The sequence below is a fragment of the Homo sapiens genome, chromosome 2 (genome assembly GCF_000001405.40).
Source record: "Homo sapiens chromosome 2, GRCh38.p14 Primary Assembly".
NCBI classification, from domain to species: domain Eukaryota; kingdom Metazoa; phylum Chordata; class Mammalia; order Primates; family Hominidae; genus Homo; species Homo sapiens.
The window spans coordinates 112,219,989-112,237,749 of record NC_000002.12 but is presented as its reverse complement, the minus strand read 5'-3'; the positions used below and the strand labels follow the sequence as shown (position 1 = coordinate 112,237,749).

Below are 17,761 nucleotides of genomic sequence, written 5' to 3'. Positions count from 1 at the left end.
AAAAAAAGTATCAGGGTATGGTGGCACATGCCTGTAATCCCAGCTACCCTGGAGGCTGAGGCACGAGAATCACTTGAGCCTAGGAGGCAGAGGTTGCAGTGAGCCGAGATCACACAGTGCACTCCAACCTGGACAACAGAGCGAGACTCTGTCTCAAAAAAAAAAAAAAATTAAAATTTTAATGCTGTCATTTTTTTGTTGTTTTCTTTACTTAAAATGGATCTGTATTGCTTGAGCCCAGGAGTTCGAGGCTCCAGTAGACTATGATTATGCCATTGCAGGATAGATGGATAAATGCGTGCACGGATAGATAAATAAATAAAAACTTGATCTATTTAAAATGTTTTCAGTGAAAAATCTGACAGTAATTTATGAGGTCATTGTAAACACTTAAAGTTTTACTGTTGCAGTTCCTAATTAGATCCATCATACTCTGAACACTTCAAAAGGATCTGCCTTAGAACTTATAAGACTGATTTTATTATCTTGCTTTTTTCTTGACAATACCTTATATATTTTTAAAAACAATGAATGGGGAATCCAGGATGTATTATCATAATTCTCTTTTTGGTCCCTTAGTCCCAGAGCTTCTAGGAAAACTGATCACTATCATGCCAGTTTTCACTTATTGAGCCTTAGAGAACTTTCCTCAATTATTGTAAATCATACTTCTTTTTTCCATTTGTTTTGCGACAGGTTCTCACTCTGTTGCCCAGGCTGGAGTGCAGCAGTGCAGTCATAGCTCACTGTAACCTTGAACACCTTGGCTCAAGCAATCCTCCTGCCTTAGCCTATAGTCCCAGAGTAGCTGGACTACAGGCGTGCACCACCACACCCAGCTATGTTTTTGTAGAGACAAGATCTCTAGGCTGCCTAGGCTGGCCTTGAACACTTAGGCTGGCCTTGAACTCCTAGCTTTGAGCAGTCCTCCTGCCTCAGCCTCCCAAAGAGCTGGGATTACAGACATGAGCCACTGCACCTGGCCCCGTACTTCTTAAAAGTAAACTGCTATTGTAACTTTATGTCATTTTTTAAATTAATTTTTTGTTTTTAGCTGCTAAACAAAAAAATAAAAATCTTAAAGCTGGTCACAAGAATGGCAAACAGAAGAAAATGAAGCGAAAATGGCCTGGCCCTGGAAACAAAGGATCAAATGCTTTGCTGAGGAACAGCGGCTCACAGGAAGAGGTATTGGAATATATGCTTCTAGGAATACCTGACCCCTGCATGCTTTTGGACTTGATCTTATACTTCAGTGACAAGAAGTGCTATGTGATATGGAGAGGTGGAAGCATCCCACAGAATCGGTTTTCGGATGAAGATGTCCTTTTACTGTCACTGGGTTCTCTGTGTTCTTCCTTCTTATTGCAGCTTTCTTTTTCTCACTGATTAGCTGCCAGCACCACTTTTAAGCCTTAGCGTTCTCACTGTTGTTCCTGAATATATGCACACAAGCTCCTTGATTTTTTTTATTATTGTTATACATATATTTTTTTGAGACAGAGTCTCGCCTTGTAACCCAGGCTGGTGCGATCTCGGCTCACTGCAAGCTCCGCCTCTCGGGTTCAAGTGATTCTTCTGCCTCAGCCTCCTGAGTAGCTGGGACTACAGGCGCCCGCCACCATGCCCGGCTAATTTTTGTATTTTTAGTAGAGACAGGGTTTCGCCATGTTGGCCAGGATGGTCTTGAACTCCTGACCTCAGGTGATCCACCTGCCTCGGCTCCCACCACCCACCACCTCCCTAAGTGCTGGGATTACAGGCATGAGCCACTGTGCCTGGTCACTCCTTGATTTTTTTTTTTTTTTTTTTTAGTGTTATACTATCAATGACTCGGGAAAAATGGGAAGCCCAGAGAAGATCAAATAGTCATGAGGCATTTCAAAGGCCACTGAGTCTTACAAATTTTTTACTACTAAAGTCCCTCATCCTGGCTCCCTCTGGAAATTAAAAATCAATATTTCTGAGCATTGGCCTTACTGAATCTCCCCACTCCCCACCTTCCTGTATTTTGATTTTGGTTTTTAGAAGTTCCCTTTCCTTGGTCTGTAGATGTAAGCAGGGTAGAATAATAAGTACCTCTTCTGGATTCCACTTTTCTGAGGGCTTTTAACTGGATGGCAACTTTTTTTATTAGGCTTGGTCATATGGGACAAGGGTAAGGGGTGGTAAAATATTAGAAATGCCAAATATTCTAGATTGAAAAACATTTATATACAGTCTGTCCCCTGCCTCCATATTTTATGAATGAGGAATCTGAAGCCCTGTGGTTCAGGTAATTACCCATAGTCACACAGGGCCAAGCCAGGACTAGGATTTTGTTTCTCAACCCCCTGTCAATATTCTCTTTGATTTGATTTACATGGCTCAAATGATTATTCAGCCAAAGCTGACAGCCCTTCTACACAAGGAACAAATTCTAAACATATATATAGAATTTAATAATGTTACCAAATAAAACAAGATTTAAACTGGCAGATATTTATAAGACATAAATTTGATGGTGCTAAGTGGAAATTTGACATTATTATAAATGACTGTACAGTCAGCTCCCTTGTTTGTACATACTGTATTCCTAAAACTGTATGCAAAAATTTGGTATACAGAAGCTGTAATCTGTAGCATAAGTTAACATGTAAAAAGTACCTTATGTTTCTGAAGAGCTTAAATGTATTATAAGATTTTCTTCCTTTTTTTAATGTAAAAATCTCCTTTTATACCTTTATCACCATCTTTGACGGTGTATTTCTAGTTGCGTGTGTTAATTTGAGCTGATAAGTGTGCTCAACTCACACCCAGTGAGCATCTCATTGAAACTATAGATTCCACTGCTTTTGGTTCACTCTGATTTCCAACTTTGTCTCTACCACTCTAAAGATCTTCGTTCTTAGACTTCGGTTTTTAATCATAAATACTATCACTTTCATTTAATTTTTTTTTTTTTCTCCCTGAGATGGAGTCTCGTTCTATTGCCCAGGCTGGAGTACAGTGGTGCAATCTTGGCTCACTGCAACCTCTGCCTCCTGGGTTCAAGCGATTCTCCTGCCTCAGCCTCTAGAGTAGCTGGGCTTACAGGCGCACACCACCACTCCCAGCTAATTTTTGTATTTTAGTAGAGATGAGGTTTCACTGTGTTGGCCAGGCTGGTCTTGAACTCCTGACCTCAAGTGGTCCACCCGCCTCAGCCTCCCAAAGTGCTGGGATTACAGGCGTGAGCCACTGTGTCTGGCCCATTTAAAAAATTTTTTTCATTCATTTTTACAAAATAAAGGCAATGTATCATAAAATATTCAAATCAATACAAACATTAATATTCAATGATGGAATGCTGTTGAAACTGACAAAACATTCATTTTTAACCTGGTGTACAGAAATCCAAATTTTACATATGAAGGCCAATTTAGAAGAGTCACCTTTAAGGCTCTGAAGTTGGTTTAAATAATTTTGTGCAACAGAATAAAATATTTAATTTTCTGTTTCTTACATTTAGTTTTTTTGTTTTTGTTTTTAAAGGATGGTAAACCTAAAGAGAAGCAGCAGCATTTGAGTCAGGCATTCATCAACCAACATACAGTGGAACGCAAGGGAAAACAAATTTGTAAATATTTTCTTGAAAGGAAATGTATTAAGGTATAAAAATGTGTAAGCAAAAATCTACTAAAATGTAAAACTGCTCTTTCTGTTTGATACTCTTTTAATTCATACCTTTAGGTTTTTAAAGCTGTTTCATTCTGGAAAAAAATCAGTTAGAAAATTTTAGTGAAGTATTCTTTTATGTTTAAAAAAGTAGCCAGGCCTGTAATCCCAGCAGTTTGGGAGGCCGACGTGGGTGGATCACCTGAGTCAGATAATTTTTATTTATGTATTTATTTATTTTTTTTGAGATGGTGTCTCACTGTGTCGCCTGGGCTGGAGTGCAGTGGCGCATTCTCGGCTCACTGCAAGCTCCGCCTCCTGGGTTCATGCCATTCTCCTGCCTCAGCCTCCCAAGTAGCTGGGACTACAGACGCTAGCCACCACACCCAGCTAATTTTTTTTGTATTGTTAGTAGGGACGAGGTTTCACCGTGTTAGCCAGGATGGTCTCGATCTCCTGACCTCATGATCCGCGCACCTCGGCCTCCAAAGTGCTGGGATTACAGGCGTGAGCGACTGATAATTTTAAAAAATGCTTTATGTTTAAAAATGTTTGGGACTTAAGAAGATTTTAAGCAGATATATGTGATGTGGTTATAATTTATTAACAGTTAGAATGTGCTACCTCTAAGACTTTGGTTCTTTCTGGAATCATTTGCTTATTTAAAGTTTAGTAGGAATTAAATCATAATGACTTGACTATGAGAAATAATGGCTTTTCCTTGCTCCTTCTTTTGGCCTAGGGAGACCAGTGTAAATTTGATCATGATGCAGAGATAGAAAAGAAAAAGGAAATGTGTAAGTTTTATGTACAAGGATATTGTACCAGAGGTGAAAACTGTCTGTATTTGCATAATATCCTTTATCACAAGATATGGTGACTTTATAAATATTTACATGAACATTTTAAATGTGCAAAATTTTTAATGAAACCAGTGTTTTAGGTATACCAAAATGATATTATCCAAGCCCAACTTAGTATCAAAGTGATTAAATTGTACGTGGATTTTTTCATAAGCAAGAAAAGAGGGATTCTTTAGAAAATCTCTCAAATGATGATTCTTTCTGCTCAACCTGGGTGGTATAGAGGGTCCATGAGACCTCTTCAAATCCCAGAAAGACTTATCACAATTTCTACTGTGACACTGATTAATTGAATCTATATTCAAATAAGCTACTTCATAAAAAGGCAAGGATTACATAATTTGGGAGTACCTGTTTTCTGTGTATTCTGTACTGTGTAGAAATTAATCATCCCTTAATTTGCAGAATAGCCTTAGCTCTTCAGTGCAAATGGCACAGACAAGTTGTAAAAACATGGAACATAAACATTTTAGGTTAATAGCACCTTTAGTCATCACAAAAAAATTTTTTTCTTCAGGCATTCAATATAAGGAGTATCAAATTGTAATTTGAGGATTGTTTTCCTAGAAAATATTGAAGTTATATAAATTTATTCTGTTGTAAACAAGTCTAATGTACAAAGGATCCAGATTTGTAAGATATGTCGTTGTTGACTTTGATTCCTCCACCCCCAAAGGAATGCTTTAAAAATGATCACATTTATCAAGGTATTTAAAATATATACCCCTTTCATATATGAAACATGCCTGTACTCTATTATAAGAATGGATATGAAGGAAAAAAATGTCCTGTCATAGCCAAGAAACTTGATTTACGTATGTAGTCCTTCTAAAATTAGATTTTTAAATGTATTCCAGTTAGTTTATTATCTCATACTTTAAATAGAGAAATCCAGTTTCTGCTAGTAGGAAAGGTCTTTTTTTTTTTTTTTTTTTTGAGACATTATCTTGCTCTGTTGCCCAGGCTGGAGTGCAGTGGACAATCTTGGTTCGCTGCAACCTCCGCCTCCCAGGTTCAAATGATTTTGGTGCCTCAGCCTCCTGAGTAGCTGGGATTACAGGCATGCCTGCGCCACCATGCCCAGCTAATTTTTTTGGATTTTTAGTAAAGGCGAGGTTTCGCCATGTTGGCTAGGTTGGTCTTGAACTCCTGGCCTCAAGTGATCTGCCCACCTCCGCCTCCTACAGGCATGAGCCACCTCGCCCGGCCACAGAGGTCTTTATTTAGGAAAAATAAAGTCATTAAGTTAATAACATTATTTCAATTGGATTAAAATTGTTCTCTTCCTTAACACTTGGGTTACATGAATATCCTTGTAAGTTTTACCATACAGGAACAAAATGTTATCAGGGAGAATACTGCAAGTTTTCTCATGCTCCACTGACTCCTGAAACACAAGAATTGTTGGCTAAAGTAAGTATAATTTTTAATAATCTTTTGTTTTTTCTTTTTTAAGGAATATGTTTGAACTAAGGATGAGAATTTGAAGATAATTAAGGAGAGTGCCTCTTAGGTTAGCATATGGGATATATTAGGACTAATAACTTAAGAATTCAGTTTAAATATTTTTCATTTGTATATGTTTCCTTGTAGCTGAAAGGAAGATGTATATTCATTGCTGATTTAAGTTGGAAAGATGTAAAATCTTCAGTATAATTAGCCATTTTAATAGCTAAGCTAAGCTAAACAAAGCAAATCAAATAAGAAAAATAGTACTCCTGTTATAAAGATTCTTGGAAGGAAAGTTACAAGTTACGGGTTTATAAACATTTTAGAATTACATCAAATAATAGTTAAGTAGTAATTTCAAAATGTTTTCTTCAGATATTCTTTCAGTCTGTGAGAAAAGGTTATTGAAAAGTTACAGTCATTTGTATTCTTTCATTTCTCATGTTAGTTGGAGCTAGTCTCTTAAAAATTTAATCTAAGTATACATGAAAATTTAAAAGATTCTTTTGAAGCCAACCATACGATCTTCTGGCAAAATGTTCCCTTGAGCATATGTAAATATTACAAAGTCAAAGGTGCTTGTTTATAGATATTTTTAGGTTGTAAAATATGAATGGTTAATGTGGAATTAGAAGTTGTACCAAATATTTAGTTGTTTATTTGTGTGAAATAGATATGGAAAAGTGATATATATGAAATAAGTTTTTCAGTTCCTGTAGTAGTAGTAAATAATATTAGATGATTATTAGGATGAATTTGATTGGAATCATTTGAAAGTTATGAATATGACAGTATACCTGAATTACACATGAATGCATAAAAATGATTATGTGATTTTTTTTTTATATTAGGTTTTGGATACTGAAAAGAAGTCATGTAAATAAAATAGACATAAAAAGGTAAAATTAGAATTTACCACATTTCTTTTTTTCTTGTCTGAACATCTCCAGAAGTTGGCATGCAACCTCAATAGGGTTCTCAAATAGAAGTATTTTTCTTCTTCCTCCGCCACTAAAAAAGAATTATAAAATATTTGATATATTTACATACCTATATGGATCTACATCAGCCTGCTTCCTTGTGTGGGCTTGTCTATCAGGTATATTTTTATTCTCCTCTTGTGTTTCTTTGTAGATTTACCAAATACGTATAATTCACAAAACAATATATTTAGTTTTGCTTATGTTTGGATTTTATCAGACTGTATCATACTCTCTGTATTAATTGATGACGTGGCTATTTTCACCCAACATTATTCATTCGTGTAGATGCATGCAGCTGTCATTCATTTTTACTCCTATATAACATTTCACTTTATGTTTATATTAGTTATTTGGTCATTCTACTATTAATGAATATTTAGGTTATTTTCAATTTTTAAAAATACTAACTCTTGTAAATATCCATATACATACTTCTTGGCATGAATGTGCACAAGTTATCCACAGTATGTGCCAAGGAGTAGAATCATATCATCATAAAATTTAATATAATATCAGTTTTTTTCTCAAGTAGTTATACCAGTTTATACTCCTACAAACTGTGTAGAAGAACTGTCATTCTACACTTGCCAGTACTTTATATTGTCAATACTTTAATTTCAACCAATTTAGTGGATGTAAAAATAGAATCTCGTAACTTAATTTGCATGAAGTGCAGCATCTTTTCTTATGCTTACTGGTTTTTGAGTTTCATCTTTGGTGAAATGCCTGTTAATGTCTTTGCCCATGTTTTTATTGGTCTGATTGTCCTTTATACATTGATTTCTATATATTCCTTATATAATTCTTTGTGAGGTATGTGTGGCAGGCCTTCTCCCATTTTGTGGACGGTCTTTTCGTTTTTTGTTTTTTTTTTTTGCGGCATCTCAGTGAGTAGAATTACTTATTTTGGGAATCTTTTTGTTTATGCCTACTTTTGTGTTTTGTGTCTCATTTAAGAAATTATTCCCTGTCATGAGGCTGTAAAGTAATTTAACTTTTTTTTTAAGTTTTGGAGCTTTGCTGTATACGTTTATATTTTAATCCATTGGGAATTGTATTAACAGTTGGTACAGTAATGGTGCTTAGCAAAAACAACTACAAGGTTCTCAGTAGTGAATAACACAAAGTGCTTATTTTTTATGCATATATAGATTGGCTGGGAGTTGGCTGATCTCATCTGGCCTTGGTTGGGTTGGCACTGTTTCATATGGCAGATCTGCTGGGTCAGTTCTGCCCATACTTATCTAACTCTCCTGGGACCAGTGGGCTAGCTAGGGCATGTTCTTCTCATGGTGTTGGCAGAAACTCAAGAGGGCAAAGCCCTGTTTACAGCACATTTACTTATAACCCATTGGCTAAAGTAAGTCATATGGCCAAGCCCAAAGTCAAGGAGAAGGAAACTGTACTCCACCTTTTGTACTTTACATGTGGGAGGAACTGGTAGAATGAATGAAAAAAGAGTATAACTGTAACTCTAGGGAGAAAAGAAAAAATAATACTAATAGACTTTTTTAAAATGGTATCAGATAGAGGCCTCATATCATTCTTATTTTTGTTGTTGTTGTTCCCTTTTTCCCACATGGATAACCAATCTCCCAAGCATTATTTAATTAAAAAGACTGCTCTTTCCCCCACTAACCTGTAATACCCCTTTTGGTATATGTCAAGTTTCCATCAAGTGAAGATCTGAAGGTCTGTTTCTGGGATGTCAGTTCTTCTCCATTTGTCTTTTTCTCCAGTATATACTATCTTAATTACCGTAGCAACACTTGTTACTGTCAGTCATTTTGATTATAGCTTTTCCAGTAGGAGTGATGCTGTATCTCACTGTAGTTGTAATTTTCATTTCTCAAATGACTATGAACATCTTTTCATGTGCTTATTGGCCATTAGTCAGTTTAGATCTCTGCCCATTTTAAAATTAGATTGTTTTCTTATTGAGTTTTAGGAGTTCTTTACGTATGTTGGATACAGATCCTTTATTAGATACATGATTTGCAAATATCCCAATCTGTGGCTTGTCTTATTTTATTAATGGTATCTTTTGAAGCATCAAAGTTTTCATTTTGATGTCGTACAGTTTATCAGTTTTCTCTTCTATGGATCATGCTTTCCGTGTTGTATCTAAGAATTTATTGCCTAACACAAAGTCACAAGATGTGCTCTTATGTTTTCTTCTAAAAATTTTCTAGTTTTAGCTCTTGTGTTTATGTCTATGATTCATTTTGAGTTAATTTTTAGGAATTGTGTGAGTTAAGGGCAAAACTTTTTTTTACATGTAGATGTCCAATTGTCCCAGCACTTTTTTTTTTTTTTTTGAGACAGAGTCTCACTCTGTTGCCAGACTGGAGTGCAGTGGTGCAGTCTCGGCTCACTGCAACCTCTGCCTCCCAGGTTCAAGTGATTCTCATGCCTCAGCATCCCGAGTAGCTGGAACTGTAGGTGTGTACCACCATGCCTCCTAATTTTTGTTATTTTTAGTAGAGACAGGCTTTCACTATGTTGGCCAGGTTGGTCTTGAACTCCTGACCTCAGGTGATCTGCCCACCTTGGCCTCCCAAATTCTGGGATTACAAAGGTGAGCCACTGTGCCTGGCCACCAGCACCATTTTAAAAAAAGACTGCCCCTTCCCCCTGACTTGCCTTCATGCCTTTGTCAAAAATCAGCTGACTATAAATGTATGGATTTATTTCTGTACTTAGTTGTGTTCCATTGACCTCTATATGTGTGTCCTTATACACTATCACAGTGTCTTGATTACTATAGCTTTGTTCTAAGTTTTGAAATAAGGAAGCGTAAGCTGTCTAGCTTTGTTCTACTTTTCAAAGATTGTTTTGGCTACTCTGGATCTTTTGCTTTTCCATATAAGTTTTAAGATCAGCTTGTACATTCTGCAAAAAACCCATGCTGAGATTTTGATAGGGATTGCATTGCATCTGTGGAAAATTGCACATAGAATTCTGATCTGTGAGCATGGAATGTCTCTCCATTTATTTAGATCTTCAGTTTCTCTCAGTTTTGTAATTTTCACTGTACAAGTGTACAGTGTACACTTTTTTGTTAATTTATTCGTACATATTCTGTTTGATGCTATTGAATGGAATTGTAATTTAAACTTTATTTTTAGTTGTTCATTGGTAGTATGTAGAAATAGAATTTATTTCTGTTATTGATCTTGTTTCCCAAGACTTCGAATTCATTTATTAGCTCTAGTAGGTTTTATTTTGTGTGTGCATGTATTCCTTAGGAATTTGTATATGTAGGATTATGTTATGTCTTCCTTTGTTTTTTGAGACAAAGTCTTGCTCTTCTCCCCCAGGCTGGAGTGCAAATGGCGCGATCTCGGTTCACTGCAACCGCGGCCTTGCGGGTTCAGGTGATTCTCCTGCCTCAGCCTCCCGAGTACCTGGGATTGCAGGCATCTGCCACCACGCCCGGCTAATTTTTGTGTTTTTAGTAGAGATGGGGTTTCACCATGTTGGCCAGGCTGGTCTCAAACTCCTGACCTCAGGCGATCCGCCTGCCTCGGCCTCCCAAAGTGCTGGGATTACAGGCGTGAGCCACCGCGCCCAGCTGCCTCTTCCTTTCTAACCTTTCTAATGCTTTTTATTTCTTTTGTGCCTGATTTCACTGGCTGAAACCTTCTATACAAGGTTAAATAGAAGTGAGAGCAGATAATGTTGCCTTTGTCCTGATATTTGGCAGAAGCATTCAGTCTTTCACCAATACATATGATTTTAGCTGTAGGTTTTTATAGATACTCTAGTTGAAGGAGGTTCTCTCCTATTTCTAGTTTTTTGAGTACTTTTATCATGGATGAATCTTGGGTTTTATCAAATGATTTCTGTGCATCTGTTGAGATGACCATATAATTTTTCCTCTTATTTTATTCACATGATATATTAGTTGTAAAATAATTTGTTTTACATTCTTGAGGTAAAACCCACTTGGTCATGTTGTATATAATTTATTATTGGATTTCATTGGCTAATATTTTATTAAGGATTTTTACATCTTTTTCATGTTTATGAGGGATATTCATGTGTAGCTTTCTTTTCTTGTGATGTCTTTTTCTGGCTTTCGTATCAAGGTAATACTGGCCTCCTAGAATGAGTTGAAAGGTGTTCCAGCTTCCCCTATTTTCTGGAAGAATTCATGAAAATTTGTTATTATTTCTCCTTTAATTCACCAGTAAGACAACTGGGCCTGAGCTTTTTTTTTTTTTTTTGAGATGGAGTCTTGGCTCTGTTGCCCAGGCTGGAGTGCAGTGGCACAATCTTGGCTCACTGCAAACTCCACCTCCCGGGTTCACACCATTCTCCTGCCTCAGCTTCCTGAGTAGCTGGGACTACAGGCACCCGCCACCTCACCTGGCTAATTTTTTTGTATTTTTAGTAGAGACGGGGTTTCACCGTGTTAGCCAGGATGGTCTTGATCTCCTGACCTCATGATCTGCCCGCCTCAGCCTCCCAAAGTGCTGGGATTACAGGCGTGAGCTACCGCGCCCAGCCGCTTTTTTTTAATTAGATTTTACATAACAGATTCAATTTCTGTCCTTGTTATAAGTTTATTCAGATTTTTCTTTTTTAAAAAAAAAACAGCTTTGGTAATTTGTATCTTTCCATTAATTTTGCTATTTCATCTAAGTTGTCTACTTTGTTGGCGTAAATTTGTTTATAGTATTGTCTTATAATCCTTTTGAATTCTGTATCATAAAAAGATTTTCTTTTTTTTTTGAGATGAAGTCTTGCTCTGTTGCCTAGGCTGGAGTGCAGTGGCATAATCTCAACTCACTGCAACCTCTACCTCTTGGGTTCAAGCGATTCTCCTGCCTCAGCTTCCCAAGTAGCTGGGATTACAGGTGTGCGCCACCACACCCGGCTAATTTTTGTATTTTTAGTAGAGATGGGGTTTCACTGTGTTGGCCAGGCTGGTCTTGAGCTCCTGACCTCAGGTGATCCACTTGCCTTGGCCTCCCGAAGTGCTGGGATTACAGGCGTGAGCCACCATGCTCACTCTGTTGTCCAGGCTGGAGTGCAGTGGCATGATCTTGGCTCACTGCAACTTCCGTCTCCTGGGTTCAAGTGATATTCCTGCCTCAGCCTCCTGAGTAGGTGGGACTACAAGCACTTACCACCATGCCCAGCTAATTTTTGTATTTTTAGTAGAGACTAAGTTTCACCATGTTGGCCACGCTGGTCTCGAACTCCTGACCTCAAGTGATCTGCCCGCCTCAGCCTCCCAAAGTGTTGGGATTACAGGCATGAGCCACTGTGCCTGGCCAGCTTTGTGACATTGAGGCTTTTAATCTATGAATATGTTGACTGTAGTCTTTTTTTAGACATAGGGTCTTGCTCTGTTGCCTAGGCTGGAGTGCAGTAGCACAATCATAGCTCACTTTAGCCTTGAACTCCTGGGCTCAAGCAATCCTTCTACCTAAGCCTCCCAAGTAGCTGGGACTGCAGGTGTGTGCTACCACACCTGGCTAATTGTTGTCTATAGTCTTTCAAAATGTCTTTTGATAACATTTTATTATTTTCCCCAGTGGGTTGCATATTTTTGTTAGTTTTTTTTTTAACAATTAACTATTTTGAGGTATACAGAACAGTCAATGAATTGCACCCATTTTTAATGCACACATACAAAATAAAACCTACTAGAGTTAATAAATTCAGCAAAGTCTCAGGAAACAAGATCAATACACAAAAGTAAATTCTCTTTCTACATACTACCAGTGAACAGTCTCAAAATGAAGTTTAAACAATTTCATTCAGTAGCATCAAACAGAATAAAACAGGAATAAATTAAAAAGGTGTACACTTGTACACTGAAAATTACAAAACCGAGAGACACTGAAGATCTAAATAAATGGAGAGTATACAGTTCAATGAGTTTTGACATGTGTATAACCATGTGGCTACCACCACAATCAATAAATAGGACATTCCATCACCCCAGAATGTTCCCTGTGACACTTTACTACAATTCATTCTTCTCCTTCTCTCAGACCTTAGGCATCCACTGGTATTCTTTCAGTAAGTATCGATTAGTTTTGCCTGTTCTAGAATTTCATATAAGCAGAATTATATAGTCTACACTCTTGTGTCTTTTGCTCAGTATGGTGTTTTCAAGCTTCCTGTTTTTATGTATATTAGCAGCACACTTCTCTTTATTGCTGAATTGTGTTCTTTTGTATGGATATACTTGTTTATTCATCTGTTGATGGACATTTGAGTATTATAAATAAAGCTTCAGCGAACATTTATGTTCAAGTCTTTGAGGCAATGTAATTTGAAATAAAGCAATGATAGTGTATTTTTGTCCTGGGTTTTAAAGAGACTGCTATTAATATTTTCCCCACTGAATACAATGTGTCCTGCAATTTTCTGGTAGAAACTCTGTCAAGTTAATGAAATTCTCTTCAAATTGTAGCTTGATAAGAGTTGTTGGACTTTTTGTTTCTTTGTTTTATAATCAGGAAGAGATGTTGACTTTTTTGGAATTCTTTTTGACATGACCAGAGTTTTTCTTTTTATTCTGCCAAAGCAACAGATTATATCTATGCATTTAAAAATACTAAACCACCCTTACGTTCCTGATATAAACTAAATTTTTAAATATAAATGTGAAGTTTTCAAATATCATTAATATTATGTCAAAATATTAATGCCTTTTGAGACAGGGTCTCACTCTGTCACCTAAGCTGGAGTGCAGTGGCATTATCTATCTCAGCTCACCACAACCTCTGCCTCCCAGGCTGAAGCGATTCTCCTGCCTCAGCCTCCTGGGTAGCTGGGATTACAGGCACCTACCACCCTGGCTAATTTTTGTATTTTTAGTTGAGATGGGGTTTCACCATTTTGGCCAGCCTGGTCTCAAACTCCTGACCTCAAATGATCCACCTGCCTTGGCCTCCCAAAGTGCTGGGATTACAGGGTGTGAGCTGCCGTGCCTGGCCTTTATTCCTTATATTGATTATTTGTGCCTTCTGTTTTTCTTCATCAGTTAATCTGCAGTTTCGTAGTTACATTATTCTCTAGAAAGAACCAACTTTGCTTTCTTTAATTCTATTTTATACTAATTTTCTATTTCATCAATTTATTTTCTAGATTATATCAGTCATTTTACATTGTTTGGGCTTATTTTGCCCAAAGATTGATTGTTAGCATTTCTTCTTTCTCAGCACATCTAAACCTATACATTTTTCTTAATGTACTATTTTGCTTGTAGCCCCAAAGTTTTTTAAATTAAATATTCTTATAAAAGTAATATATGCAGATAGTTTAAAAAGTCAAGAGGTTATACAAGAATTATCATGGAAAAACAGCAGTCCTTCATATCATGATGATTTTTGTAGATGCTAAAAAAAGCTTTCTGCTAAATTCAACACTCATTTCTTTTTTTTAATGGCTTTATTTATTTTATTCTATTCTTGAGGATTGTTTGTGTGTTTCTAGAAATTTGTCCATTACATCTAAATTAATACATTGACATGCAATTGTTCATATAGATTTATTATTCCTTCTTTAAATATTCTTTACTTTTTTTTTCTTTTTTTAAATTATACTTTAAGTTCTAGGGTACATGTGCACAACGTGCAGGTTTGTTACATATGTATACATGTGCCATGTTGGTGTGCTGCACCTGTTAACTCGTCATTTACATTAGGTATATCTCCTAATGCTATCCCTCCCCACTCCCCCACCCCACGACAGGCCCCAGTGTGTGATGTTCCCCACCCTGTGTCCAAATGTTCTTATGGTTCAATTCCCACCTATGAGTGAGAACATGCAGTCAACACTCATTTCTTATTTTAAAAAAACACTAAAGAAAATAGGAATAGATGGATACTTTAAAAGTTTTTTATTGTGATAAAATACACCTAATATTTACCATCTTAACCATTTGTAAATGTACAATTAAGTAATGTTAAGTTCATTCATATAGTTTTGAAACCATTACCACCACATATATTACCAGAGCTCATGTTTTTAATCTCAAAACTAAAACCCTGTATCCATTAAACAAAAACTCCCCATTTCCTCTTGTCTTCAAGGCCTTGACAGCTACCATCCTGTTTTCTGTCTCTTGTGATTTTGACTACTTTAGATATCTCATATAAGTGAAATCATACAGTATGTCCTTTTTTTATCTCATATAAGTGAAATCATACAGTTTGTCCTTTTTGACAGACATTTCTGTCACCACCATCCTATTTTCTGTCCCTTGTGATTTTGACAAATGTAGGTATCTCATGTAAGTGAAATCATATAGTATTTGTCCTTCTCAACAGGCTTATTTCATTTAGCATAATGTCCTCAAGATTCATCCATATTGTACCATGTCAGAATTTCTTCTTTTTTTAGGGCACAGCCTCCTTTTGCCCTGGAAACACCCAGACAGCAGGGCAGGCAACTCCACCCTCCCCCCACCTCTTGTAGCCAGACAGGCCAGGCCACACCTGCTAGAGCTTCCAACCCAGTGGTCCCACTTCTACCTGAACTCTGCAGGCAGGTGCAACCCCGTGTTTACTCAGGAAGTAAACAGACAACAACAGATTAGGGCTGACCTAGCAAGGATACAACCTATCTGTCAACTGAGGTTCCTGTCTGAGGGAGAGCCCCATGGACAAGAACACTCAACAAAAGAAACATGGGCACAGAGACAGTAATCAGAGAGGGCTCCTCCAAGACCCAGGAGCAGGCTAGAATCTAAGCCAGTCAACTGATCCCACCTTATACTGTAATCAAACCCCCAAGGTTATCAAGAAGAAAAAAGCAAAAAATCTACCCAAAGGACAGCAACTTCAAAGATTGAAGAACATCAGCCGATATAAATGAGAAAGAACCAGCATAAGAACTCTGGCAACTCAAAAAGCCAGAGTGCCTTCTTACCTCCAAATGACTGTACCAGTTCCCTAGCAATGGTTATTAACCAGGTTGAAATGGCTGAAATGTTACAAATAGAATTCAGAATATGGATAGGAACAAAGATCAATGACATACAGGAGATAGTCAACCCAATCCAAGAAATCTAAGGATTACAATAAAACAATACAGGAGGTGTTAGACCAAATGACCATTATAAGAAAGAACCAGACTGACCTGATAAAGCTGAAGAACACACTAGAAGAATTTCACAGTGCAGTCTCAAGTCTTATCAGCAGAATCAACCAAGCTGAAGAAGGAATCTCAGAGCTGGAAGACTGGCTCTCCAAAATACCTCAGTCAGACAAAAATAAAGTAAAAACAATAAAGAAGACTGTATTAGTTCGTTCATGCATTGCTATAAAGAAATACCTTAGACTGGGTAATTTATAAAGAAAAGGGGTTTAATTAGCTCATGGTAGGCTGTACAGGAAGCATGGAGGCATCTGCTTCTGAGGAGGCCTCAGGAAACTTACTTACAGACATGGCAGAAGGTGAATGAGGAGCCAGCATGTCGCATGGCCAGCAAGAGAGAGAGAGTGGGGAGGAGCTACACACTTTTAAACAACCATATCTTATGAGCATTCACTCACTATCACTAGGACAGTACCAAGGGGGATGGTGCTAAACCATTCATGAGAAATCTGCCCCCATTATCCAGTCACCTCCCCACCTTCAACACTGGGGATTACAATTCAACATAGATTTGAGCAGGGACACAGATTCAAACCATATCAAAGACTGAACAAAACCTCTGAGAAATATGAAATTATGTAAAGAGACCAAATCTATGACTCATTTCCGTCCCTGAAAGAGAGGAAGAGAAACCAAGCAACTTGGAAAACATATTTCAGGATATTGTCCATGAAAATTTCCCCAACCTTGTTAGAGAGGCCAACATTCAAGTTCAGGAAATACAGAGAACCTCTGCAAAATTCTACACAAGAAGATCATCCTCATGACGGATAGTCATCAGATTCTCCAAGGTCAAAATGAAAGAAAAAACGGTTAAGGGCAGCTGGAGAGAAGAGGCAGGTCACCTACAAAGGGATCTTTTTTGTTTGTTTTTGAGATGGAGTTTCGCTCTTTTTGCTCAGGCTGAAGTGCAATGGCACGATCTCAGCTCACCACAACCTCTGACTCCCAGATTCAAGTGATTCTCCTGCCTCAGCATTCTGAGTAGCTGGGATTACAGGCACGCACCACCATGCCTGGCTAATTTTGTATTTTTAATGAAGACGGGGTTTCTCCATGTTGGTCAGGCTGGTCTTGAACTCCCGAGCTCAGGTGATCCACCTGCCTTGGCCTCCTGAAGTGCTGGGATCACAGGTGTGAGCCACCGCGCCCAGCCCTACAAAGGGGTCTTTAGGCTAACAGCAGACCTATCAGCAGCAACCCTACAAGCCAGAAGAGATTAGAGGCCTATATTCAGCATTCTTAAAGAATTTTCAACCAAGAATTTTATATCCAGCCAAACTAAGTTTCATAAGCAAAGGAAAATTACATCCTTTTCAGACAAGCAAAGGCTAAGGGAATTTGTTACCACCAGACCTGCCTTACAAGAGGTCCTGAAGGGAGTGCGAAATATGGGAAGTAAAGACCATTACTGGCCACTGCAAAAACACACTTAAAAGTACATAGGCCAGTGACACTATAATGCAGCCACACAAACATGTCTGCATAATAACCAGCTAACAATGTTATGACAGGATCAAATCTGCATGTATCAATACTAACCTTGAATGTAAATAGGCTACACACTCCAGTTAAAAGGCACAGACTGGAAAGCTGATATAGAAACAAAACCCAATGGTATGCTGTCTTCAGGAGGATCATCTCACATGCAATGACGCCCTTAGGCTCAAAGTAAAGGAACGGAGAAAAATCTACTAAGCAAATGGA

The 17,761-nt window shown here is 37.6% G+C and overlaps 2 protein-coding genes across 4 annotated transcripts in view; one reads left to right on the top strand and one right to left on the bottom strand.

The window, feature by feature from the left end:
- FBLN7 (fibulin 7) overlaps positions 1-17,761 on the bottom strand; it is a 106,324-nt gene that overhangs the window by 6,959 nt on the left and 81,604 nt on the right. For both annotated transcript variants that reach the window (XR_007069507.1, XR_007069508.1), the window contains exon 8: positions 6,865-16,154. The gene's annotated coding sequence lies outside the window, so the exon portion shown is untranslated. The remainder of the gene's footprint in view (positions 1-6,864; positions 16,155-17,761) is intronic.
- Positions 1-17,761, top strand: part of ZC3H8 (zinc finger CCCH-type containing 8) — a 43,514-nt gene that overhangs the window by 17,293 nt on the left and 8,460 nt on the right. The window contains exons 4-8 of one of the 2 annotated variants that reach the window (XR_001738994.2): positions 1,055-1,188; positions 3,514-3,630; positions 4,379-4,490; positions 5,803-5,912; positions 6,800-7,047. Coding sequence is in view for 1 of the 2 variants with exons in the window: in NM_032494.3 (NP_115883.2) it covers positions 1,055-1,188; positions 3,514-3,630; positions 4,379-4,490; positions 5,803-5,912; positions 6,800-6,832 (506 nt within the window). In the remaining variant the exon portion in view is untranslated. The remainder of the gene's footprint in view (positions 1-1,054; positions 1,189-3,513; positions 3,631-4,378; positions 4,491-5,802; positions 5,913-6,799; positions 7,048-17,761) is intronic. The other variant, NM_032494.3, reaches the window with a different exon arrangement.